The following is a 26223-nucleotide window of genomic DNA, read 5'->3' as shown; positions in this document are numbered from 1 at the left end:
AGCGATCCTCCCACCTCAGCCTCCTGAGTAGCTGGGGCCACAGACACATGCCAACATGACTGGCTAAAATCTTTTTAGAGCAACCACTGTATGCTGGCCCCAGGGAGACTCCAGGAGCCTAACACTCTGCTCTTGGCGGCCACATCCTCCTTCCTTTGGGTTCTCCCTGGGCCTCTGGACCCCAGCATAGGCTCCCACATGGAGACATCCTTTGCCTGGCCCTGGTTGAGGAGGCTCCCCAGGCTCTGTCCTGGGCATTCCTCTCCTCCCCTCCCCTCCCTTCTTCTCTCTGGTGACATCTTCTACTCCTATGGCCTTAATTACTCAGTGGATCCTCAGATACAAGTTTCCAGGATGGAGACATTTCTCTCATTTCCAGACCCCTATGTCTGTCCTGAACATCTCCCCGTGGAGTCCTCCAACATCAATTCATTGAGAACTGATCGTCTTGCAGCCCCTCCACAGCCACGCCTCCTCCTCCTCTTGCTTCCTGGATTAAAGGGCCCCACCATCTTCCCAGTTGCCCAAGCTGGAAACTGGGAGTCATGCCTGTCACCTTCCTAATCATTTCCTTACTCCTTACCCAAGGATCCCCAGGCCTGGCCAATTCCTCCTCCATCACAGGCCTTGGTCTGGCCCTCCTCCTCCTCAGCCCAGCCAGAACTCGCGCCCAGACAGCCGCCTGTCTCCCTGGATTATGAAGCTGAGTCCTGCCGCTCTCCTGTGCCTGCTCAGTCTGTTTGGATCCCTTCCCTGTGCAGGGAAGACCCCAGAGGGGTCTTTCTAAGACCTAAGTCAGCTTTCACTACTCCTCCCTCCCAGGAGACCCTTGATCTCACGGGGCTATTTCCCTGAACAGGATTCTAGGGGATCCACTGAACAGCCTGGGCTCCATGGGGTCTTTGCTGCTAAAGGGCCATTGTCTGGTGGGTTTCACCTCCTTACTAGTGTGAACAAATTACTGAACACCCTAGGCCTCAGTTTTCTTACCTGTGAAATGGGGATAATGCATGCCAAGTGCACAAGAGTGACAGGGGGTTCAAATGAGATAAGGTACACCCCGTTTTTCCACACTGGGTCATGGCTTTCTCAGGTGTGTTTGTGTCCAGCAAGCATGCCAGGGAGTATAGGAGATGCAGGGCAAGCATAGCCATTTCTATAATACCAGCTTTCCTCCATTCTTGGTGGGGAGGGGGAGACCAATATATTTTTATATTACACCCAGCATGGGGATATGATGGAATCGAATGCAAATTTTGCATCCATGTAAAAGACAAGCATGAGTCTAGCAGGCGTTCTTGGTACCCTGTCCAGATCTCCGCACCCTGAACACTTCAGGACTCACCACCCAGCTTCCAAACTTGGAAGCATCCTTTCTGCGTTTGAGGGCTTTCTCTGCTGCAGAAGAGAAAGCCCCAGGAGATGAACAACTTCTGGCAGCAGCCTTCACCCACTGAGCGCTGGGAGTGGGCGTATCAATACCACAGCTCCCTTGCTAGTAGGCTGGGGTGCATGGAGAACTCTGACTTGTGACTGCTTTGTTGGCTGGAGCTCTCCAGCACAATTGGATGTGAGTTGTCACAGAGGTAATGACAACACAGTGGCTGTGACTTCCCGGCTGCTTTGCCTTCTTTGTCTCACTTTCCCACTCCTCTACTGGTATTTCCTGGAATCCTGCCTCCTCCACACATAAAATATCTGCACTGAATTCTGGTCTCAGAGTCTGCATGTGGGAGAATACCACTGAGACATAAGCCATCTAGCAACAGCAGCAATAGAAAAACAACCGTAACAACACAAATAGCTGCCAATCAGCATGGGAATCGTTTTTCATTCGTTGTCTTCACTTCACTCTCTCATTCTCCTATGCATAGGTGCTGTTTATAGATGAGGAAGCTGAGGCTTAGGAAGGTTAAGCAACTTGCCCGAGGCCTCACAGTGAGAGAGTGCAGTCTGGGGTTCCCACTCCTAGAGGAGCCTGGAGCCTGTGCTTGAATCTCTAGCAAATGGCCACTTTGATCGGTGCACTTTGGTGGAAGCTTCCAGAAGCATGACACTGGGGAAAGCAGTGGGTGGACTGTAACCTAGGAGGTCTCCATACTGATGCTAGGCTGGCTGGGTGGCTGATGAGAAGTCTTATGTGTCCATAAAATATCTAGGCCATTCTTCCCGTCTCACCAGTCTTTTAGAAACTCTCTGCTTTTTGGCCGAGTGTGGTGGCTCACACCTGTAATCCCAGCATTTTGGGATGCTGAGGCGGATGGATCACCTGAGGTCAGGAGTTTGAGACCAGCCTGGCCAACATGGCAAAACCCCATCTCTACTAAAAATACAAAAAAATAAGCCAGGCATGGTGGCGGGTGCCTGTAATCCCAGCTACTCAGGAGGCTGAGGCAGGATAATCGCTCAAACCCAGGAGGCGGAGGTTGCAGTGAGCTGAGATCGTGCCATTGCACTGCAGCCTGGGCCACGAGAGTGAAACTCCATCTCAAAAAAACAAAACAAACAAACAAACAAAAAAAAAATAGAAAAGAAAAGAAACTCTCTGCTTTTTAAACTGAGCTCTTGCTTTCCTACTTGATAAAGATCCACATCAGTGTCTGGTGATAAAGAAACAGCAGCAGAGGGGCAAAGTTGAGCAGGGCTGGTTTTCGGGCCCAAGGAACCTGGGGAAGGGGGCCTGGCACGTGCCCACCGAGAAGCAGGTGCCAAACCCAGCCCAGAAGGCTATGTCGGCCCCATGCTGCCAGATGCGATTTTTCTTGGAAAGCTTGAGATCCAGATTTTTCATATGCAATTTCCCCATTTTAAAATACAGGCTACTATTTTTGAAGCATTTAAAACCCACCCTTTGGTAGCCCAACTAACCCCATCTGGGGTCTTAATTTTTCGCACAGGTGGCCACCTTATGACCTGGGCTGTAAAGGAATATCGGCCAGATGTGACACGGGATAAATCAGCCATCTGTCTTTTTGATAGGGAAACTGAGGTCCCATGACTTCCATCATGGCAAACAGAAGGGCTCGTCTCCAGGCCCAGCCCACCTGAGGGGATGAAAATCTTCTCACTGAACCATCCCATTACAGGCCTGAACTGGACCTCTTTGAACAACATGGGAAACTGAGGCTGGCAAGGGAAGGATGCTGAGTTCCCACCCTCCAGGTAGCGTCTCAGCCAGAAGAGGAACGTGCCCCTCCCCACCTTCCTCAGTTGCATCCCCACATCCCCACAGCTGGTTTGGCCCTGGCAGGGTGCTAGGAGGGACCTTGGTTTGGGCTGTCGCCATGGGAACCCTCCTCGCAGGCCTCTGTGGGTGGCTCTGCCCTTTGGTTTGTTTTCGGGGTCTGAGGCTGTGGAGTTTGCTGACAATTGCCAAAGCCCCGAGTGAGTGTTGAGTCACCAGACTTCAGAAGGGCTGTAAGTGTTTATTTAAAACCTTACAAACAGTTTATAGCCAATGGGCCAGAATTTACAGGCAAGGGGTTCACTTCTGGATGGCCCTGAGAGGTGGAGCAGAGGGCAGTCCTCTAGCTAGTCCGCAGATGTCGAGGGCCGGCAGGTGATGTGCTTGTGAGTGGGCCGCCTGTCTGAGCAGTGTGGGAGGCTCCCGGCCCCTCCTTGCTTTGGGTTCCTCCACTGTTGTGGCTTGGTGGTGTCTCCTTGAAAGATATGCTGAAGTCCTGGCCCCGGGCACCTGTGAATGTGGCCACATTTGGAAATAGGGCCATTGCAGATGTAGTCAAACTAAGACGAGGTCATAGTGGGTTAAGGTGGGCCCTAAACCCAGTGTCTGGGGTCGCCATAAGAGGCTGTGTGAAGACAGAGAGGCACACAGAGAGGAGAGGCTATGGGGAGACAGAGACAGAGACTGGAGCGAGGCTGCCATTGGCCAATAATTGCCATGGATTGCCAGCAACTGGAAGAAGCAAGGAAAGATTCTTTCTCTAGCCTCCAGAGACAGCATGCCCTGCTGACGCCCTGATTCTGGACTTCTAGCCTCTGGAATTGTGAGAGAGTAGATTTCTATTATTTTAAGCCACTCATTTTGTGTTTCGTTTGTTTGTTTGTTTACATAGCAGCTCTAGGAAACAAATGTCCTCCACCTCCAGGGCCTCTGCTAGGATCTGTTCATGGAGCGCCTCCCGCCCAGGGCTCTCCTGGTCCAGACCCTCATGTGCCTCATGTCACTTGGGTCTGTCTGCCTGGATGCCCCTCAGAGCCCACCAGCTGAGCTTCACTGTAGCAGGGCCCAGGAACTCCTTTAGGGTGGCCTTGAAGGCCTCAGGAGTCTTAATGTCTTCAAACCCTGGGGCCCTGGAGCAGGTGGGCAGGAGACATGGTCACAAGCATGCCAATGACAACCTCACAGGACTCCTGGGGACAGCTGAGGACAGGATTGAGAGAGAGAAGCAGAACTTCTGCCTTTGAGGGTGGGATGGGCTGGGGGAAAACTGGCGATACTGACTACACTCCTGGTTCTACCATGGGTTGGAAACTTGGGGTGGTCTCTGACTTGGTACAGGGGAAGCATTTGCATAACCCCTTGCTACTCAAAGTGTGGTCTAGGATTAATAGCATCAGCTGTTAGACTGCAGCTTTTAGGGCCCACCCCAGACCTACATAATGACAGCCTACATTTTACCAAGATGCCCAGGTGACTTGCATTCACGTTCCGTCGGAGAAGCGCTGGCTGGGTGGGGAAGGGAGCAAGGGATCTGGACTCCCTTCTCCAACACTCCTGGGTTTAGCCCGGATTTCAACAGCGGCTAGGGTGACCACACCAAACAGGTTCTGCAAATGCTAGTGTTCTGTGTTGATAACAGAAGAGGACATTTTGCACTTGAGAGGCCCCCAAACATCCTCACTCAGATGTTTCATGTGGAAGTTTGGGCATCATCCTGAATCTCTCTCTGGACCCTCCACCTCTGCCTGGGAAACAAGTCCCAGGGGATTACACCTGCTAGTGAGAAGGGAATAGCATGGGGTGGTGGCAGGAGGATGGAAAAACCCAAACAACAGCTAAAACAATACCTTGGGAAAGAAACCACAGGATATCAGAAAACCCAAAATAAAGGAGAGAAAACAGCCCAAATCCCGGTAAAAGTGACACGTCTGTGACTCTCCCGGGCAAACCCAAATAAGGGAGAAAGGCGGCAGTAACCGGGAACTGGGGGTCCCTGAAATCCCCTCCTTATCCACAATACTTAACGATAATCTAATGATGATTATCCACCTTTTTTTTTCTTTTTTTTGAGATGGAGTTTCACTCTTGTCACCCAGGCTGGAGTGCAATGGCACGATCTCAGCTCACTGCAACCTCTGCCTCCTGGGTTCAACCAATTCTCCTGCTTCAGCCTACCGAGTAACTGGGATTACAGGTGCCCACCACCACACTTGGCCATTTTTTGTGTTTTTAGTAGAGACAGGGTTTCGCCATGTTGGCCAGGCTGGTCTCGAACTCCTGACCTCAGGTGATCTGCCTCCCAAAGTTCTGGAATTACAGGCAGGAGCCACTGCACCCGGCCCATTACCCACCCTTTAACCAAAGAATCAACCACAAAATAGGAATCAACACTGGATGGTCTCAGGAGAAGTGTGAAAATATCAGGCAGCAATTTCACAGAACAGAAAGAAAGGAGCTACAAGGACGGGGAGGAATCTGGGCTGATAAGACCCTAACAAACAGGAGCGTGCTGAGCTGGGTGAGACCGGCTGAGTCTCAACCGAGCCCCACCCCAAACCAAATGACATGCTCATTACCATACACCTGCCTCCCTCAGCACCCTGACAGATCCCCAGCATGCCCATATTTAGTATAAAAATGGATGGCACCACGATTCTAAGAAACCTCTGTTTTTTTTTTTCCTAGAAAACCTCATGATGATTCTACCCCCTAATAAGAAAAGCCCATAAAATTAGAAACCCCAACTCCTTCGTGCCTGATGAGTTCTCATGAGTACGTTAACATTTCTGTCTTATGTGTGTACTTTCGCTTTGCAAGAAAAGCTTCTTGCCTGTCCCTTCATTCTGATTCATCCCTGAATTCTTTCTTGTGACAATGTCAAGAACATGGACACCAGCTGAGATTGGAGTGTCTCACCAGTGTCTGGAGACCCGCTTAAGCCCTCTGGCAACAGTAGGATGGCTGAAACCCAGTCTCTGTCCAGCCCATGCTTACACCCTCCTCCCTCTTGCCTGGATGACTCTTACTGGTTCTGGAATTCTCCTGCCTGCTTCCTCGAAGCCACTCTCTACCTGGAGGCCAGAATGAGGTGGTAAGACCTCTAATTCTCACCAAACCGGGCTCCTGCTTAACCCTCAGAGCCCTCTGAGCCTGTCCCCACTGCTCACACAAGGACCCAGATCCTTGCTGAGGCCTCGGGGCCTGGCCTGAGTGGGTCTGGCCTCATCTCGAGTTTCTCTGCACCAGCCCCGCGCCCCGGACCACAGCCTCATCTTGTTCATCCGTGCCTCTGCTCAGCACCTTTGACATGCAGCTTCCTCTGCTTATGCACTTTCCCCAACCCCCTCCTGCCATCTGGTTGATGCTGCCTCATCCTTGAAATGCCTGCTCCTCTTGGAGGTCTCCCTGCACTGGCAGACGAGGCCAGGCCTCCCTGACACCTACATCCGTGCATGATTTTTCCTCTTGGCGCTGCTCACAGCAGTGACCGTGAGTTTGGCACTGTGCAGTTATCGGGAACTCCCTGCCCACCTCCCAACATCACAGGCCATGAAGGCAGGGGCCAGTCGTGTCTTCCTCACCAGGTCCCAGCACTTAGCACACTTGCTGCTACATCGTTCTGTTAATGAGAAAGAAAAGTAGCAGGACTGACGTTTTGTACAAAAGGGGAACTCTTGCCTGTTTTTTGTTTGCTCATTTGTGTTTTAATTCTGGGTCTATCCACGTGGATCCAGCCCAGTGGGCTGCACGAGTGGCCTTGGGCCAGGCCCAGCTTTCTCTCCACGATGACCTTCTGGGTCCCTCCAAATGTCCACACCTGGAGGCACATGAGAGACACCTGTGGCTGGGAAGAAGTGAGGGCCGTGGTTTCCATGGCTGCCTCTGCCATGAGCAGACCTCGCTGAGCATCTCAGGTGGTCAAATAGTGAGCAGGAGAGCTTCTGGTAGGACTCTTGCGGTGAATGATCTAATCGGAGGGACTTGCCAGGAACCAGCTGAAGACCCAAGACCTTGCCTTCTAATCTCTTCCCGGCTGGACTGGCCTCCTCTCCTGTCCCCTCCCTCCCCCTCCACCATCCCCGCCAGGGCCAGGAAGGTTTTGCTGCAATGCCTGCCAGATCGTGTCAGTGCCTGCACTGAGTTCCGTCTTTGGAGCCCCACAGGTGTGCTGAGTGAATAAATAAATGAATACATGACTGAGCTACGAATGAATCTACCTAGTCATTCAGTCAGTCTGGAAGTGAAGGGGCAGAATGTGTGACTTCAAAATGCTGATCAAGACAACAACAAAAGAAGTGTTGCGCTGCCTTCTTACCACGGCGTAATTCACCTCTGTGAAGCAGGCACTTTTGTCATGATTGTTTTATTTTATTGTCATTATTTGTGTGGAGGCCTGGTTTACAATTATTAAACAGCATGGATCTCTGGGGGTGCAGCCGGGTGAATTTTTGCCTGTGTAGACCCCAGATTACCACCCCCGACACCACGAGGTGGGCTGTTTCTCGTGCATCCTTTCAGCCCCTAGCCCGCCCCAGACGCAATCCCTGTTCTGGCCTTCATCACCCCAGGAGTTTTGTCTGCTCTTGAACTTCACATAAATGGATGTGCCCGGAGAGTGCTTCTCTGCCTGGCATCCTTCCCTCCATGTGATGTGTGTGAGAGTCAGCCAGGTTGCAGTGTGTGTGCTCATAGTTGGTTCCTGTTTGTTGCTGCGTAGTATTCCACCACATGGACCTGTCACTTTAGAGGATGACTGTGGATTTCAGAGACCCTTCCTGGGCTGTCCATGGCTGCACACTTACTAAATGATGATGCTGGGAACCCTGTTTTTTTTTGTCAAGACTTCTGCTTGTTCTTTAATTTCCTACCATCTCTCTGGACAAAGTCAGCTGATTGGAAAACAGGGCACAGGCTTCCCAGCTGCAGAGGGAAGGAAGGAAGCTGGAGGCCCCAGCCCCTGTGTACCATGACCTGGGGCATGCCAGGTGACCTCCCCAAACCACATTTTTCTCTGGTAAAAAGGGATGGCACTGGCTTCCTCAGACAATTAGCATGTGCTCAGTAAATTATATTAGACACATCTAAACAAACTAACAAATATGCCCACAGAGTCTTGCCGTGTGATTTGAGTAGGTTGCCTTTCCACCCTGGCTTTTGTCACCTGCTCTGAGAAATGAAAGGTGGATGAGTGCCCTGGGGCGCTGGCGGCTCTCCAGGCTGTGAGGCTCTGCGCTCAGTGGCCTCCCAGGCGACGCCAGGAGGTTATTTAGTCTGCTGGGTCAGGTGACCTGGTCTGAGGTTCTGCTGCCCTGATGGGTGGGGCGGAGGGGGGTACGCTGGGGTCTGACGAGTGGCACATTGTTTGATTTGAGTCCATCCCCTAGTGTCCACAAATTCACCTTTGTTTATTTTCCTGAGACGCTAAACAAGCCAGTGAGACTGAGCAGTTCCAAGCCAGACATGCATTTCCACCGTAAAAATATTTTTGCGGGTCAGAAAATTGCACCAAAATGTTTTCACAGGCAAAATGCTGCTGTGTGCCGCTCAGGCCTGCGGCTGGCCGATTGCTAGAGATGGGTGCTGCACACACGCACCCTGGGAACACGTTTCAACAACACCAATAAAATAAGCAATGTAGGAAGCACTTATTATGTGCCAGGCAGTTGCCAGTATGTTCTTTTCTTTTCTCTTTTCTTTTCTTTGAGAGGGAGTCTCGCTTTGTTGCCCAGGCTGGAGTGCAATGGTGTGATCTTGGCTCACTGCAACTTCTGCCTCTTGGGTTCAAGCAATTATCCTGCTTCAGCCTCCTGAGTAGCTGGGATTACAGGTGCCTGCCACTATGCCATACTAATTTTTGTATTTTTAGTAGAGACAGGGTTTCACCATGTTGGCCAGGCTGGTCTCAAACTCCTGACCTCATGTGATTTGCCTGCCTTGGCCTCCCAAAGTGCCGGGATTACAGGCATGAGCCACTGCACCAGGCCACCAGTAAGTCCTTTACTTGTGTGATTAGTTTTCACCCTCACCCCTCCCTGTGTGGTCACTGTGATTGTCATCTGTTCTGCTTTGCAGATGAAAGTAATGAGGCCCAGAGAGGGTAACTGATTCTTCCAAGCTCAAACAGCCTGTAAGGAGCAGAGCCAGGATTAGAAACCAGGTCTGTCTGATGTCAGCGCCTGGGCTCGTACCTATCATGGTGCATCTCTGAGGCCCTAACTAAAGGCTGGGATCAGCCATGGGCTCTGCCATGAAGCCTTCCTGTGCCATTTCATGTATACAGGAGTGATAGCGCTGGGATGGGCCGTGGAGGTGGCCTCCCATCACCTGCTCCTTGTACAGACTCTGAGGAGATTAGTGTCATGGCCATCCTCACACTCAGTGGGCAGTGGCCTCCATGGCTGTCCTTGTCACCTTGTTCTGTGCGGTTAGATATTTTGTATAATGCAGCCCTCATGGCGTAGCTGCACGGCTGAAGCCCTTGGCGTGCACATTCATACACAAAACATCACAGAATAGATGGTAGACCCATATAGACCCATACGGAACTGCAGCCCACATCACAGAACACAGCCCTCTGAACAGGGATTTGGGGACTTACAGTGTCATTGCACTCTCTGGTCATTATTTTACACTCACATTCAGCTATGTACGATCAGCGAAAAATGAGATTAAAAGCCAATTTAAATACTGTAGGGGATTCCTCTCTCCCTCTCTGCAGGTGCCAGGGGCGATGCCTAGGGCTGAGTGGGAAACAGCAGCCGAGAGGCCACTGTCGCTCTCACAGACCTCGGTCTCAGGAACTTCCTGAAGTGACAGCCCCATGCACTCCTGGGATTATACACATCTTTTTGCTAAAGGCAGCTCCAAATGCCAGCTGGTCCTCGGCCTGGTGCTCCGGTGGAGAAGAGTGATTGGTTGGGAGGTAAGAGCTGGGCTTGCTGGGAGGCATCTGTGAGCCTCAGTCTTGGAGGAGACACCCCACAGGGTGTGGAGGTGGAGGGTGAGTACATTTGATCCAATGCACTGACGCAGTCTCTAGCCTGGGAGGGTAGATCTGCTGGGTGGGTTTGTTTCTCATCCTTCTCCCTGAGGGCAGGGCCATGGTGACACCTCTTAGTGTCCCTGGGCCTGGCACAGAGGAGCCCTCACATGTGCTTGGTGACAGATGACATGGAGTTAGGGTCCTGCTGCGTTCAGAGGGAGGGAGCCACTCCTCTGTCCGTGGAGAAGCATTCCCAGGGTCACTGACCAACCATGCCTGAAGCTGGGGCTCTAGCAAAGTTGGGATAGGGCAGGACAGTCCTCGGGCCTGTCCAAGGGGCAGCTCATGGCCAGGACAATGACCGCCAAGCCCCCTATACACTCAGGGGCTCAGTGTGAGCCCTCAGGAATGAAGGAGCGAGCCCCGCCTGTCCAGGCCCTGGCCTGGGATGACCCGGGTCTGTGTCAGGCATCCATGTAGCCCCTCAGCCGGCGCAGTCTCTGCAAGTATCATCAGGAGGCCACGAAGAAAACGCCGCATCTTTCTCTTTTTGTCTCTGTATGGTTAGAATGCACGCGGTGTCTGGCTCAGGGGAGGTGTCTGTAAACAATTTTTGAACAAACTTATATAATTTTTAGAACTACATTCAGGCATCCAATAATTACATTTTGGTAACAACGTACTGAATATATGACAGCAATCTCCTGAGGTTATCGTGGAGCTGAAAACTTCCTATGGCCTAGTGACATTGTAACACGAAGCATTACTCACATGTCTGCGGCAATGCTGGTGTCAGGCGACCTCCTGGGCTCCCAGTGGTATAAAAGTCTAGCAAGTGTGATTAGAGACTGTATATAATACTCGATAATGATAATAAATGACTATGCTACTGGTTTATATGTTTACTACACTATACTTTTTATTCTTATTTTAGAGTATACTCTTTTTTATTTTTATTTTTATTTTTTTTTGAGAGGGAGTTTTGCTCTTGTCACCCAGGCTGGAGTGCAGTGGCGGGATCTTGGCTCACTGCAACCTCTGCCTCCCGGGTTCAGGTGATTCTCCTGCCTCAGCCTCCAGAGTAGCTGGGATTACAGGTGCCCACCACCACAGCCAGCTAATTTTTTTAATTTTTAGTAGAGATGGGGTTTCACCATGTCTCGAACTCCTGACTTCAGGTGATCCACCCGCCTTGGCCTCCCAAAGTGCTGGGATTACAGGCATAAGCCACCACGCCTGGCCTTGGAGTGTACTCCTTCTACTTATTAAAAAAGTTAACTGTAAATCAGCCTCAGGCAGGTCTTCAGGAAGTACCCAGAAGAAGGCACTGTTGTCAGAGGAGAAGACAACTCTTTGCATGTTACTGTCCCTGAAGACCTTCCAGTGGAACAAGATGTGGAGGTGGAAGGCGGTGATACTGATGATCCTGACCCTGTGTAGGCCTAGGCTAATATGTGTGTTTGTGTCTTAGTTTTTAACACAAAAGTTTAAAAAGCAAAAAAAAAATATTAGAAATTTTAAAAATAGAAAAAACTTATGGAATAAGGATATAAAGAAAGAAAATAGTTTTTACAGCTGTACAATGTGTTTGTCTTTTCAGCTAAGTATTGTTACAAAAGAGTAAAAAAGTTTTTAAAAAGTAAAAGTTTATAAAGTAAAAATGTTACAGTACACTAAGATTAATAGAGTATTGAAGAAAGGAAAATATTTTTGATATAGTTAGCGTATCATAAGTGTCCAGTGCTGATAAAGGCTACAGCAGTGAGCAGTAAGTCCTAGGCCTTCCCAGTCACTCACCACTCATTCACTCACGGACTCAGCGAGAGCAACGTCCAGTCCCGCAAGCTCCGTTCCTGGTAAGTGCCTTAGGTGGACCATTTTCTATCTTTTAGACTATATTTTTACTGTACCTTTTCTGTGTTTTGAGATAGATACATAAATACTCACCATTGCATTACTATCACCTACGGTATTTAGTATGGTAGCATGTTGCCCAATGCAATAGGCTAGACCGTATAGCCGAGGCATATAGTCAGCTACGTAGAGTGTAAGTCTTCTTTATGATGTTCACACAATGGAATTGCCTAATAATGAATTTCTCAGGATGTAGCCCCATCGTTAAGTGATGCGTGACTGCTTTTGGTCCAGGAGGGAGGTCCTCCAAGAGGTGCAGCCCTTTTGTCACCATGGAGACAAAAAGGGGTTTTACACACCCCACATGTTCTTTACACATCGGGAGAGCTGCTGATCCTGGCCTGTGTGCTTGTGTGTATGTGTGGGTGTGCATATGTGTGTCTCTGTGCCTGTGTGGTGAGGGGTAGGGGAAAGCAGCCCCCAGGGGGCTGTGCTGGTGGCCATGTGGACCATGTGGGCAGGTGCCAGGAAGGGGTGTCTTCAACACAAGGGGTAGCTTAACACAAACACTTCCCCAGGGCTGAGCTGAATCAGAAGCCAGTGGTGGGAGTATTGGAGAGTGAGTAGAGAGGGTAGGCTGCAGCCAGCCTGCTTCCGACGAGGAGGAGGGCGGGGGATGGAGCTCAAGAATCAGCCACAGGTGACAGACGCAGAGAGGACCACCAGCAGCTGAAAGGCGGGGCCTGGGGGGTGGCAGGCAGGCCCTCTGCGTGGCAGCCTAAGGGGCACGATGCTGTTGAGTCTCATCTCCTGGTCACCGCCGCATGCCAGCAACTCTGCTGAGTAATAAAGGGCACCGTCCTGTTTGATCCTTGGCCCAGCCTCAAGGTGGGGGACTCTTAGTCCCATCGTCAGTGGAGGGCACAGTGAAGACACATGAGGTGACTTGTCCAAGGTTCCCTAGGGCTGGCGAGGGGTGGAGCCCTGTGTTTGTGAGGATCCCAGGAGCTCCTTGTGGGATGGGTGTTTTACCTTCTGTGACGGTTAATCTCACGTGTCAGCTTAAATGGGCCGCAGTGCCCAGATAGGGATATGGTCAAATATTATTCTAAAGGTTTCTGTGGGGGTGTTTTTGAATGGCACTGACATTTAAATGGGTGGACCTTAAATAAAGCGGTCTGTACTCCATCCCATGCGTGGGCCTCATCCAATTGGTTGCTGGCCCGCATAGGACAAAAAACCAACCTTAGAGCAAGAAGGGATTCTGCGGCCCATGGCCTTGAACTGGGCCTTGAACACCAGCTCTTCCTGGGTCTCCAGGATGCCAGTCTACACTGCAGATTTTGGATTTGCCAGTCTCCATAATCATGTGAGCCAATTTCTTAGAATAAATCTCTTTACACACACACACACACACACACACACACACACACACACACTCACACACACCTCCTATTGGTTCTGTTCTCTGCTCTCTGGAGACCCCTGACTAATCCGGCTTCCCAGGAGTGAATGTCAGTAGGAAGCACCCAGGATTGTGCAGCTTGAGGCTGACTCAAATCAACCCCTCTGGGCACACAGTGTAGCCTAGGAGGGGCTCAGCCAGGGAGCTGGGAGGGGTGAAATGGGCTCCAGTGAAGGTAGGAGCAGAACAGCAAAACAGGGCGACGTCAAGGGGACAGGACACCTACAAGCAGGCCACTTCTGCCACATTCTTATTTGTGACCATGGCCAAGCCGTTTCTCTGCTATGCGCCTTAGTTCCCCTCTGTGCAGGACCCTCCATGTGCCAGGTAGTCGTCGGAGCCCTCCCTGCCTTGTCTATTCAGTGACTTCCAGAGGAATGAAGGGGAAATGAGAGCCTGGTAATGGCCCACGTTGTCCTGCTATCAGCCCCTTCTGCACATAACTGCTGGCGGCTCACCTCTCATTCCTTCAGCTGTGGAGGTGCAGAGACAGAGCCAGGCAGGAGACCTGGGTTCAAGTCTTGCTCCACCATGAACTAGTTATGTGGCTGTGGGCAAACCAGTTTCAACTTAGCTTCCATTTCCCCTATCCACAGAATGGGGGTGGTGATGCTGGTTTGTTCTGGGAGTTAAATGGTTGAAAATATGAGCCGGGTACTTAATACATTGTGGTTTTTTAATACACACCAGTGCTGTCTTTCTTGATGAACTCTTGCAATGGGCAGACGTGAAGTATATGACTTTGCCTTCATTTTAAGGGGCTCACAAGCTCCAGCTCCTCATGGCCACCCCATGAGAGGCCCCTTTTGAAATGGAGTCACTACCGAGTGAATGCAGTACAGCAGGTGTGGGGACCCTGCTGTGGGCTGGGATATTGCTGTCCTTTATGACCTCAGCCTTCCATCACCAGATGTTTCCTGGTGTCCTGAGCTTTGTGCTGGAAATTGAGAGCCTGTGGTATTAGGGGGAAAATGCACCCAACAGGCTACAGCCCAGTAGGTGAATGCTCTACCAGAGGTATCAGCGGGGAGCATAGAACAGAGGAGGAAGAAAAAACTTTGTCACTCTTTTCTCCTGCCTGCAAACCTATGGAAAAAGAAAAGAAGGAAGTTCTTGGGCAAACTAATTCTGTAATACAGGGAAATGCATATCAGTGCAGCTCCAAGAAGGGCTTTTTGTCTGCCAGTTCCCTCCAGTGACCACAGGCTGCCTTGGAATGGGATGAGCTCCATGTCACTGATTTTCATCCATCCATCTGCCCCCATCTACATTTTCTTTCTTCCCTCCCTCCTTCCCTCTCTCTTTCCTTCCTTCCTTCCTTCTTCTTTCCTTCCTTCCTTCCTTCTTCTTTCCTTCCTTCCTTCCCTTCCTTCTTCCTTCCATCCATTTTCCTTCCACCCATTTATCTGTTTTCACTCATCCATCTGTCCATCATCTTTTCTTCCTTCCTTTATTCCATCCTCCCTTCCATCTATCCTTCCATCCATCCATCCATTTTTCTTCCTTCCTTCCCTTTTCTTTCCTTCCTTCCCTTTTCCTTCCATTTTTCCACCTATCTATTCATTTTCTATCCACCTATCCATCTATTCATCATCTTTTCTTTCTTCCTTCCATCCATACACTCATTTTTCTTTCATCTATTCATCCATTTACCCATCCATTTTTCCATCCATCCATCCATCCATCCATCCATCCATTTTATTTTACTTTCACCAATATATCCTTCTACATCCTCATCCATCCATCTATGCAACCCAATCTATATCAGACTCTTCACTGGAATCCAAGAACTCAAAAGATGAGATGCCTTCTAGGGCATCCTAGAGCAGTGGGGGAAGCTCAGCTCTTGAACCTGGGGGCAGATGGACCCTCTGCTGGGCGGAACCCCAAGGGAGCTCCTGTATGGATTATGTGGGACAAGGCAATCCTGAAGTGCCTTCTAACTCAAACATTTTCTGGTTCAAGAACCACAGGAATGACTTTTTTCAGGTCTCAACCTCAACCACTGATCAATCAAAATGCACATCTGCCTATTCAACCACATCTATGTGTATATGTCCCCCTGTGCCAGCCAGAGCTGGGGACGCAGTGGGAAAAAGATGGACCACATCTTGTTCCCACAGAGCTTACATCCTTGTGGGGAAGACAGAATATCAGCAAATAAGTATACATCAGACAATGATAAATGCCATGCAGAAAAATGCAGCAATGGAAGAGGATGGAGAGATGGAGGGAGCTGCAGATGGAGGATTGGGTTGTAATTTAGGTGGTGTGGTCAGGGAGGAACTCTCTGACTAAGGGGCTTTTCGGCAGACTCCTGCAGGGAACTAGTTTCTGGGGAAAGTGTGCAGAGGGACAGTAAGGGAAAGGCCCTCGGGGTGGAGCATGTTTGGCATGTTCCAGAAAGAACTGGAAGGCCAGTGTGAGGAGAAGTGGGTTTTTGAGGAGTGAATGGCAGGAGAGGTGACAGCTCTCAGGGGTTAGAGCACCAGGGGTCTTTAGGCCACCAGGAGGCTCTCTCCATTGGGACCAGACCTGATTTGCATTTTAAAAGGAGCATGCAGGCAGGTGAGTGGTGAAGACATTGCAGAGGGGCCCGGAGTGGAAGCAGAGTCCATGGAAAGGATTTGACAACCCAGGAGGAGGGTGCACGCAGTAGGCTTTGCCGGTGGAAGAAGGGGCCAGGAGCCACAAGTGTGGGCAGCCTCTAGAAGCTGGAGGAAGCAAGGGAATGGATTTCCCTCGGAGCCTCCAGAAGGAACCAGCCCTACCGACACCCTACATACAGACCCGGGAGACCCATGCTGGACTGCTGACCGCCAGAGCCGTAAGAGAATACATGTGTGCTGTTCTAAGCCACCAAGTTTGTGCTAACTTGTTATAGCAGCAACAGGAAAGCATCACAGTCCAGTGAGGGGTTAGGAGGTGGCAGATGATGATGGCTGTATGAGGATGGTGCCTTGGAGGGGGCAGAAAGTGGCTGGATTCTGGACATGTGGTGAAGGGGAGCTGACGGGATGGTGGTGCCAATGAACTGGGAGTGGTTGTGGTGGAAAGAGAGGAGTGTGGGAGAACTTCCAGGTATTTGGCCCAAGCAATGAAATGTGCCATTTCTGAAATGGTGACAGCCACTAAAGGGAGGAGGTTTGCAGGGTGCTCGGGATTGGGGTTTTGGCCACCCTGGGTGGGAAGGACTTGTAGGCACGCAGGAAGGCCTGTGAAGCAAGCAGTGGGATGTTTGCTCTGAGGCTGGGGGAGAGGGCTGGGCTGGGGTAAAACATTTCGGGGTCCTCAGTGGGTGTGGGATGGAATGAGATCATCAAGGGAGGGAAGACAGCAGGGTCAAAGGTTTCACCCTCAAGGGGAGTGAAAGCCTCTTGTACTGGCAGTCTCCTTCAGTAGTCTGGGCAGGAAAGGCACCTTCCCGCAGACAGCGCTGCTTCTAATGACAAAAACATAGTCAAACAAGGCTGAGCAGTGTCCATGGATCCTGGAACCGCCCAAGACCCTTTAGTGTTAGTTATCCAGGGCTGTCAGCACCAAGCATCCTAGACTAGGGCACTTAAACAACAGAAATGTGTTTCTCACAATACAGGAGCTAGAAGTCCAAGACCAAGGTGTCAGCAGGGCTGGTTTCCTCTGAGGCCTCTCTCTTTGACTTGCAGACAGCTGTCTTCCCCCATCTTCACGTGGTCTTCCCTCTGCGCGTGTCTGTGTCTTAATCTCCTCTTAGAAGGACACCAGTCAGATTGGATTATGACCCGACCGTATGAGCTCATTTTACTTTAATCACCTCTTTGAAGGCCCCATCCCCAAACACAGTCACATTTGGAGGTGCCGAGGTTAGGACCCTAACATAGACTTTTTGGAGAAGGTGGGGGCTGGGGCGGGGGTGGCGGACACAGTTCAGCCCGGAACACCTCCTGAGGCACCAGGCTGGCTCTCCACTTATTAATTGGGAACTAAATCTTCAAGCAGCAAATGAACTCTCACGCCCGTCACCGAGCGCATGGCTGGGCCAAGTCCTATTCATCTCTCGCCAGAGCTCTTCCTGCCACCAGCCCAGGCTGCCTGGAAAACAGAGCGTCTCATTTCCCCGCCGCTGAGTCCCATCCCTGCAGACGCACCTCATCAGGACAGGGGCCTGGCTGCAGCCCCGCTCCCCGGTCTCACACTACATCATGTGTCACCCTGTTGGTGGTGGCCTCCATGTAATCAAACACCCCTGAGTCAGACATCGCAGAATTAACAATCCTCCACGTGGTATAAACAGAGCCTAAATCAAATGCCAGCAAAAGGATATTGCCTTTTAAATGGGTCCTGACAGCTGTGGAAAATATTATAGAATAGAATCCTTACATATGACAGACATGAATTCTTAAGGAACCCCTAAACGGGTCCTCTGGATCGTTTGTGAGATTGTATTTTATTATGGATTGGATGTATTGAAGTAAGACTATAATCTTACTGTGCTCTGACCTCTGTTTTTATAGCTCTGTATAAACAGCAGTTACCGTATTAGATGGAGAGATGTTTACAGATGGAGAAATAAAAACACGCTGATTTACTGTGTTGTAGAAACCCGAAACCAGTCCAAGGCAGGGCCTGGGTTTTGTACGTCAGAGGCCCCGTCCTGATGGGAGCGGACAGCTTCGGGGGTGGAACCCAGGCCGGGGGTGTGGAACCCAGGCAGGGCATGGGCCTTTGGCTCCTGTCGGTGGGGGACACAGGCCCCGCAGCCTCAGAGTATCAGGTCCCTGCTCTCCAGAGCTCTGAGATCTGGACCTTTGGGACCACTGGGTGGGACACGGATGAGAAGAAGGCTCACACCCTGGGATAGTTTGGCTTCTGTTCTGCGCTTTTGCTGCTTCCTAGATGTGGAGGCTGGGTCTGAGAGACGGCAGGACTTCAGAGTGGGGCGCACCTGAGGTTGCCCTGGCTCTGCGTTAAGGAGCCGGGGACCTTGAGCTTAAGCTCTCCAGGGCTTGGTTTTTCACCTCTCTGGTGTGGGAGTGAAAACACCTGTCTCATAGGTTCTTGTGAAAAATGGCTGAAATAGTAGAAAATTCCAGCACTCAGGAAAGCTCCCTTCCTGCGTCTTTCCCCTTGCCTTTTAAAATCCTGTTACATTTTCCTTACGGTGGACTTAAGAGTTCTTGGAGAACAGCGTTCTCCTGGGGGCCGGGGGCACTCCACGGAGTCCCTTTGGGGTCCCCAAAGGAGTCTCCCGGCCTGCGTTCTTCACTCACTCACTCAGTCTGTGGGATGCAGCTGGAATAAGCACTAAGGAGAAGATAGGGCCGAGGAGAGGGATGGGGTGTCCGCAGTGGAGGTGCTAAGGTTTTAGAAAGGGTGGCCAGGGAAGGTTGAACAGACCTGCGCAGAAAACCCAGAAAAGCTGGGGGCCCCATTCACGTAAACACTCGAGGAAAGAGGACTCCAGGCAGAAAGAAGGGCCGAGGCAGAGGCCGGGAGGCAGCATAGGCAGGGGGGCTGGGGCTGGAGTGTGGGGCAGCAGTAGGGATGGGGTCAGGGGTATGAGGGGAGTCAGACGGCCTCGCACGTGTGTCCAGGTGGGCAGGAGCAGTGCTGCCATCCACCTGCTGGCCACAGCACAGGGGTGGGGCCCAGGTCCTTGTGGCTCTCACAGGGCAGGCCGCTGGAAGAGTTGGGGATTCCTGTCAAATCATGGCTCAGAGAGGAGCATCAGTTAGGAACAGCCATGTCGAAGGATCACCCAACAATTGCTGAAAACAGCCCTCCACTGGGTAATTGCTAAAAGGGTTTCCTGAGCCATTTCCACTACAGTTAATATCACCTAGTTTCTATACCACACACATTAGAACAAACTAAATATCTTTCGAATTCGTATTTCTGTATTGACTAACATTAATTTACGTGGTCATAGCAGTTGATAAATACATCAGCACGTCTCAGGAAGAGAGGCTGGGTGCCCCCAGGTTCACTGCTGCCATTAGCATTGATCCGTCTCCTCCTCCTGCCCCCTGATGATGTGTGGCGAGCCCACATCATCAGGACTCCGAATGGCTGCTCTGTTTGACCCCGATCCTCAGGACACAGCCCACTGGGCTTCTCCAAGCCACACACCATGGGGCCTTTGTTCTAACTTTGTTGCTTCCCCTGGACCACTCCCCGTGGTGAAAGGCGGATTCCTTGTTTGCCACAAGGAGTTCTGTTTTGTGTACTCTTGTCACAAAAGGGTACTACACGTCTCTCAGGGGACATGTTGTCAGGGTGCTGGGGAGACAGTGTGAACAAGGCAAGGAGCTTGCCTCATGGGACTAGCACTGACCTGACGGGGAAGACGGAGAATCACCGAGATGAAAGGACACAGTGGATGCTCCCTGCCGGATGACAGTGAATGCCAGGCATGGGCAGGGACAGGGCCTTGGGCTCACGAAGGACCCCTCTGATATGGGCTGCTTCCTGCAGATAAAGGACTTCCTGGGTTGCCTACTTCTTATTCTGGATCAGGGGATTTTAGGTGCAATCCAAAGCCCGGGGAGAAGAACCGCCCTGAAGGGATCGGACTGTTTGTACAGTGTTTTCGGCTTCTTATTTCTGGGGCCTCACAGCATGTGTGGAGGGCGGGGCAGGCAACCGGCAGGTGAGGACGCTGAGCCCACCGGCATGAACTCAGCAGGAGGCAGCAGAACCTGCCGCAAGGCAGGGAGTTGTGGGGAGGCCTCCCCTTCCCAGAGCCTGTGGGTGCCCTGCTTCCCCGATCCCGCCCTCCTCCCAGTGGCATGCACCTGCCCTCCCCCAGGGGCGCAGTGGAGAAGATAAGGGTTGTCTTCAGAGAGCCAGTGGCCTGGGACACAGGGAGAGCCTAGGCTGGTTCTAGATGGTTTCAAACAGTGAAGAACGCTGCAGCTCAATCCAAAGGGAACTTGAGAGATTTGGAATAAAGAGTGCTGTCCTGGAGGGGGCCCCTGTCGTAGGAGGGGCCAGAGCAGAGCTGGGAGCCAGAGAAGAGCTGGGGGCCAGAGTCTCGGGGGAAGGTGTATGGCTTCCTCCGGCAGGCAGGAGTCCTCAGGGCCTCCTCCCTCCTCCTTGGCTGGAGGGTCCGTGAGTCTAGGGCAGGGCAATTTTACCCCCCAGGGGACATTTGGCTGTATCTGGAGATCTTTTTTGGTAATCACACTGTGGGATGGGGAGAGACACTGCTCATCCACCAGTGGGTAGAGGTCAGGGATGCTGCTAGTTGTCTCACAGTGCCCGGGGCGGCCCCCATCAGAGATTCCCCAGGCGCAAAGTGCCCACAGTGCCCACAGGGCTGTGGCTGAAGAATCCTGGTTGGGTAAACATTTACATCGGACGAATACCTCAGAAGTCAGTGCACTTTGAAAACGGGGAAACTGAGACCCAGAGAAGGAAAGGGTCTCGCTCAGGGCATACGGTGAATCAGGGGGCAGAGCCAAGACTAGTATCCCATGGTCTCTCATCCAGGGCACATTCCTCTATACCAGGCCAATCCAGTTACCCAGTTCACCTGAGACACTCGCTGGTCTCTGCCAGCCTTTTGCCTGTGCGGACAGTCAAGGCACAGGGTCTAGCCAAGGGTTAAGACAACACTGCGCTTGCAGTCTCGTCTTGGAGTAAACGCAGTTGCTGCTTGCTGTGTGGCCGCAAGTTGGAAATTGTTTTCTTTTTCTTGCTTTTTCCTACCAGAGTCTGGACTGAGCTCAAACCAGACTTGCCATCTCATCCTCAAGCCACAAACCCCAGCAGGCTTCCTCGTGCATCTATCTTAGGTCTAATACAGCGATCATTGGCACAGTTTCTACTCTTAACTAAAACCAGCATCTTTTCTGCCTGTGGCCAACGGCACAGTTGATAGATGAAAGGTTTGGCCTCTTTGGTTCAATTAAAGATTGCCCATCTCTGGGTTTATGAGGATGAGTGTACAGAAGATTTCCAGCGTGGGCTTCTCATCTGGCCATCTCTGCCAATGCCTCCTTTAAGATGTAGAGAGAGGGCCCCAGCCTGGGTGTAACAACTGGTTAGAGGCTGATACATGAAAACGTACTGGACCCTCCCTCAGAATCTGGTGCAAAATGAGGCACCAGGCGTGGGTGCCTAACTTGTACGTGTGCATTACCCAACCACACCACAGAGGTGTGGCCGTGGGTACCCGTCTCTTCTGTCCATGGGAACAGTGGGACTGGTCCATGGCTCTGTGTCATTTGTAGGTGTCCTGGCTGAGAAGTAGCCATCTGGGGCAGGTACTGAGGGGCACTGCAGTGGGAGGAGCAGAAATTGCCTGGGAACTCATGGGAACTCATGAAGTAGGGCAGATGGGGACAGAGAGTCTGACCCTGAGGTGGCACATGGATTCCATCTTCCTTTTCTTTTTCTGTCTCTTTTGAAATAATTATAGACTCACAAGAAATTGCAAAAACAGTACAAAGTGTCATGTGCACCCTTCACACATCTTATATAACTCTAGTGCTTCATCAAAACCAGACATCATTCTTCACAATGTAATTAACCAGACTACACACTGTACTTGGATTTCACCAGTTATTATGCACATTCATGTGGTTTTATTTTTCTGTATGTCTTTGTGTATGGCTCTATGGCATTTTATCCCACCTATAGAGTCATGTAACCAGCATCACAATCAAGATACAGAATGTTCTGTCATGAGAAGAACACTCCCTACTGTGTTCCTTTTACAGTCACACCTGCCCCCACAGGCCTAATTATCTCCTCTCCATCTCTGTGATCTGGTCATTTTGACTATGTTATATAAACGGAGTCATGCGGTATGTAACCTTTTGAGAGTGGCTTTTTTCACTTAGCATAATTCCCTTGACATTCGTCCAAACTGTTGGATGCATCAATAGTTTGTTCCTTCTTATTGAGTAGTAGTCCACGGTATAGATATACCAGTTTGTTTGACCTGAATTACATCAAACTTGTCAGCTCCATTGATTTGGGAGTGGCTGCCTGAGACACAGGGATAAGGAACGACTCCTAGCTAGTTAGCAGAGGAAACACCACGGTGAGTAGCAATGCTGTTCCTATTCATTAATTCATGCATTCACTCAAGATATTTATTTTGCATCAATGCTGCACCATGAACAACACAACGGTGAGCAAAACAGATCCAGTTCTAGATGTCTTTGAGCTTATGTCTTAGTGGAGGGGACAGATATTTAATAAATAAACAGGAAAACATATATAACTTTAAGGAAAAAGAGCAGGGTTCTGGGAGAGAATGAAACTTTGGATGGGATGATTGCTGCAGCCTTGTCCAAGGAAGGGAAGAAGATGAAGTGTCATTGACTCGTGGAGGGGAATGGTATTCCAGGAACAGCATGTGTGAGGGCTCTGAGGTTGGACAAAGGCGCACGGATTGAAAGAATGAACAGAAGGCAGAAATGTCGAGGCTATTCAGTGGTCCAAGGCGAGGACAGCCAGAGAGGTGAGCAGATCATTCGGGTCCTAGGAGGAACATTTTTTCTCCAGGGCAAGAAGAATCCATTAGAGCATTTTTAACAGAGGGGCGGCATTTTCAGGTTTGGGTTTTACAAAGACTGAACTGACTGTTGTGTGGAGACGTGACCTTCGTGGGTGAGAATGGAAGCTCAGAGCTATTTGGAGGTCATGGTGGTCTCCTATGACCATGACCATGGGGGCCTGTCTAAGATCTCATCAGTGGAAATTAAGAGAAGTGGACAGATTGGACATGTTGGAGGGGTTGGCGTCCAGGAGGTGGAAGTGTGTGGGCAGTATGTGGTGGGAGTGCTGAGGGCTGGGGTGTGTGTGAGAGTGGAGTACTTGTCCAGTGCCTGCTGATGTCTCTCTGGGTTGTGGGGAAAGGGGTGCCTGGGGTGGCAGAAGTAGCATGGACGGGCCCTGGAGAGAGGGCAGAGTTCATATTCTGGCTCCACCATTTATTGGCTGCCCGTGCTTGGAGCAGTAACTTAGTTTCACCCAGCCTTTATTTCCCCATTTGTAGAATGGGGATAATCATTATTCAGTGCAGCTGATGCCAGGATCAAATGGGACATCACATACATGACACCCAGCTCAGTGGCTGGTACAAAGGCACTCAGCAAGTTACAATCGTCTTTTCATCTCCTCTCACTGAGGGCAGGGATTGGGTCTCATTCAGTCTTGTCATGACACCGTCTGGCAAAGTGCTGACACGGGGCCTGTGCTCCCTGTAGGCTTGTTAATTTCCTGCCTTTCCTTGAGAGTCCTCTCATCCAGGGACATGTGGACAGTGCTGGATGGCTATGGGGATGCTCTGTGAGGTGGGTGGCAGTGCAGGGGGCTCAGAGGACAGACTGGATTGTGTCTAGCCCGGAGCACTGTGGTTCGTGCTGAGCTAGCTGTCCAGGGCCCTTAGATTTGTTGGAACTGGAGTATTCTTTCTTTTTTAGAGTGGGTGATTCATACTACATGTTGATCTTTGGAGCTTTAAAAAGCATGACCCCAGAGAGAGGGCTGGAAATGATGACTTTGCAGGTCTCAAGGGGCAGGAATCTGCCATATTTTCTTCATACAAATGGGTGTTCTTTCTCTTCCCTCCACTTTTTACCATTTTGCTGGTGCAGATACGTCTTCCATCTTCGTGTATGTTTGGCATTGTGGAGTTTTTTTGCTCGCCCCCTCCCCCTTCCAAACACTGTTGTTAAATCTTTCAGTTGATGGGATTTTACATGGAGGAAATCTGGCTGTGCCTGGCTTCCCTGCCCTGCCAACCCCTTCTGTGATGTATGGAGTCACTGTGAATAAGGCTGGACAAGCCAGACAGAATCTGTCTGAAGGTTTTCCGAGTCCTGGCGGTCTCTCTTTGCTGTCCAAAGCTTCTGAAAGTAGATGGGGATATTTTATTATTTGGTAGCATATAACTTCCTCAGCATGGTCTCTTGAGGGGTTATTACTGGTGAACTCAGAGACATTTGCTACACATCAGATTTTACCCTCTGACAACGCAAACCACTAAATGAGAAAGAATTCACGTCAATAACTCGTAGAGTATGGAAAGGATATAAAAGAAAGATGTCCACTGTAAGGCAAGTAAGTAGTCAAAGGAAACTGATTCCCTCCCACCCTTTCCCCTTATAGTGAATAGTCATTGCTGTGTTTTAATGAATGGTGCCGGGTCTAGGTGTTGTCAGAGATTGGCTGGTGGCTGACAAAACATGACTCCACACTCAGTTCAACACTAGCGCAGAGCACAGGAGTGGGCAGGCGGGAGTGGGAGTTCTCTGGGCTGTGAAAGCACGGGTTTCAGGGTAGGTGGGAGCCATCTGGCCTTCTGGCCTCCCCTTCCCTGTGCTGCTCCAGGTCAGGAGTGTTGGACACCCTGGGTGACAAGCAACTCACCACCTGCCAAGGACACCGGTGCATCTGTGGGTGGGTCCAATGTGTGAGCATAGCTGCCTGTAATGCTGGCCCTCCAGGTCTCCGATCTAGGGTTGGGGATACACTGGACCTGTCCCTCCCTTTGCCCAAGGGCAGCCCTTCGGAGAGGTGAGAGATGATATGATAGGATGGTAGTGCCAGGTGTGGGTCTGAGTCTTGGGCTGTCACTGTTTGTGTCCTTCTCTGGGACGTGGGAATGACCACAGGGCTCATCTCATGGGATGAAGAGAATTAAAGGAGGCAGCACGTGCCCGATGTCCAGTGCAGGGGGTCTCACAGGACAGGGAAGTGACCCTGGACGTGGTTCTTGGGATGGTATAAGGACGCTGGTTGGTGCCTGGCCGTATGTCCTGTGAGTACCCAAGCAGTGGGACTCTTGCCAAGCAGCCATGGGGGAGGGGAGCCAGGGCCGGAGCAGCCCATTCCCATCTGTTTTCCATGCTGTGGTTCTTAGGGGAGTGACTTTTGAGACACGTTGGCTGCTTGACTATTCCAAGCCTGATCCCCCAGGACCAGGGTTTTGGGGGCCTTGCCTCATGATTGTTGGCGTGCTTCAACTTGTTCCTCCTGCCCTTGTTTCCCCTGGTTTCGTCCTGTCATTTTCATATTGCATTTTATGTGTCTTTTCATGCTGCCCCAAGTCCTTTTGGGTTTTGAGCCAGGCAGGATGATCAGACCAACTGACAGCACAATGTCTGCACATTCTCTCCGTCACTCCCACCTGGAGGGTGCAGGCCCGGGGCTATGAGAAGCAGTTCAACGTGGATGCCGGGTGGGGTGGTCTCTGGACACCATTCCCCCGCCACCAGCATCCCTCTACCCTCTCGATGCCCTGCCACATATCCTGACCCCCACGTCCCTCATGGGCAATGTCCCCCTGGCCCTACTCCATGCGTACTCCTTGTTCCTAAAGCATCTGGAGGCCACAGGCTTCTAGAACCCTGGCCCAGGTGGACCAAACCCCTTTCCTAGAATGGTTGCTTGATTTTTTTCCCCCTCCTGTAAACGAGGAGCCCAGGAGCATGGTAGGTGCTGCTTAAAGAGAAGCAAAAGATGAGTCTGCAGTTCGGGGGTTAGGGGGTGGGATTTAGGGGATTTAGGCTGGAGCTGGTCTTTTGGGCAGAGGCTGAAACCCCCAGTGGAAAAGGGGGGGATTTCGGCTTAGGAAAGTGGTAGTGGAAATTGGCACGGGGATCCTGGGGCCATAACCCGAGAGATGCTCTTCCCCCAGGCTTCCTCTTTGGGATGAGTGAGGACCCATTTCCCATTCTGGGACGCTGACCAGTCCCAGGGGACAAGGCAGGGGCAGGCAGGCACTTCCCTAAATCAGGTCAC

At 51.0% G+C, this 26223-nt stretch overlaps 3 annotated features.

The window, feature by feature from the left end:
* Positions 8434-8934: an enhancer, noted in NCBI's record as "H3K4me1 hESC enhancer chr14:95522504-95523004 (GRCh37/hg19 assembly coordinates)". NCBI's record gives its function as "activates a minimal SCP1, AML or CMV promoter by ChIP-STARR-seq in naive and primed H9 embryonic stem cells {active_cell/tissue: H9 hESC(naive and primed)}" and the evidence as "EXISTENCE:reporter gene assay evidence [ECO:0000049][PMID:30033119]".
* Positions 19091-19625: an enhancer, noted in NCBI's record as "H3K4me1 hESC enhancer chr14:95511813-95512347 (GRCh37/hg19 assembly coordinates)". NCBI's record gives its function as "activates a minimal SCP1, AML or CMV promoter by ChIP-STARR-seq in naive and primed H9 embryonic stem cells {active_cell/tissue: H9 hESC(naive and primed)}" and the evidence as "EXISTENCE:reporter gene assay evidence [ECO:0000049][PMID:30033119]".
* Positions 19626-20159: an enhancer, noted in NCBI's record as "H3K4me1 hESC enhancer chr14:95511279-95511812 (GRCh37/hg19 assembly coordinates)". NCBI's record gives its function as "activates a minimal SCP1, AML or CMV promoter by ChIP-STARR-seq in naive and primed H9 embryonic stem cells {active_cell/tissue: H9 hESC(naive and primed)}" and the evidence as "EXISTENCE:reporter gene assay evidence [ECO:0000049][PMID:30033119]".

The sequence above is a fragment of the Homo sapiens genome, chromosome 14, assembly GCF_000001405.40.
Source record: "Homo sapiens chromosome 14, GRCh38.p14 Primary Assembly".
Taxonomy (NCBI): domain Eukaryota; kingdom Metazoa; phylum Chordata; class Mammalia; order Primates; family Hominidae; genus Homo; species Homo sapiens.
This window is presented reverse-complemented; position numbering and strand designations above follow the sequence as displayed.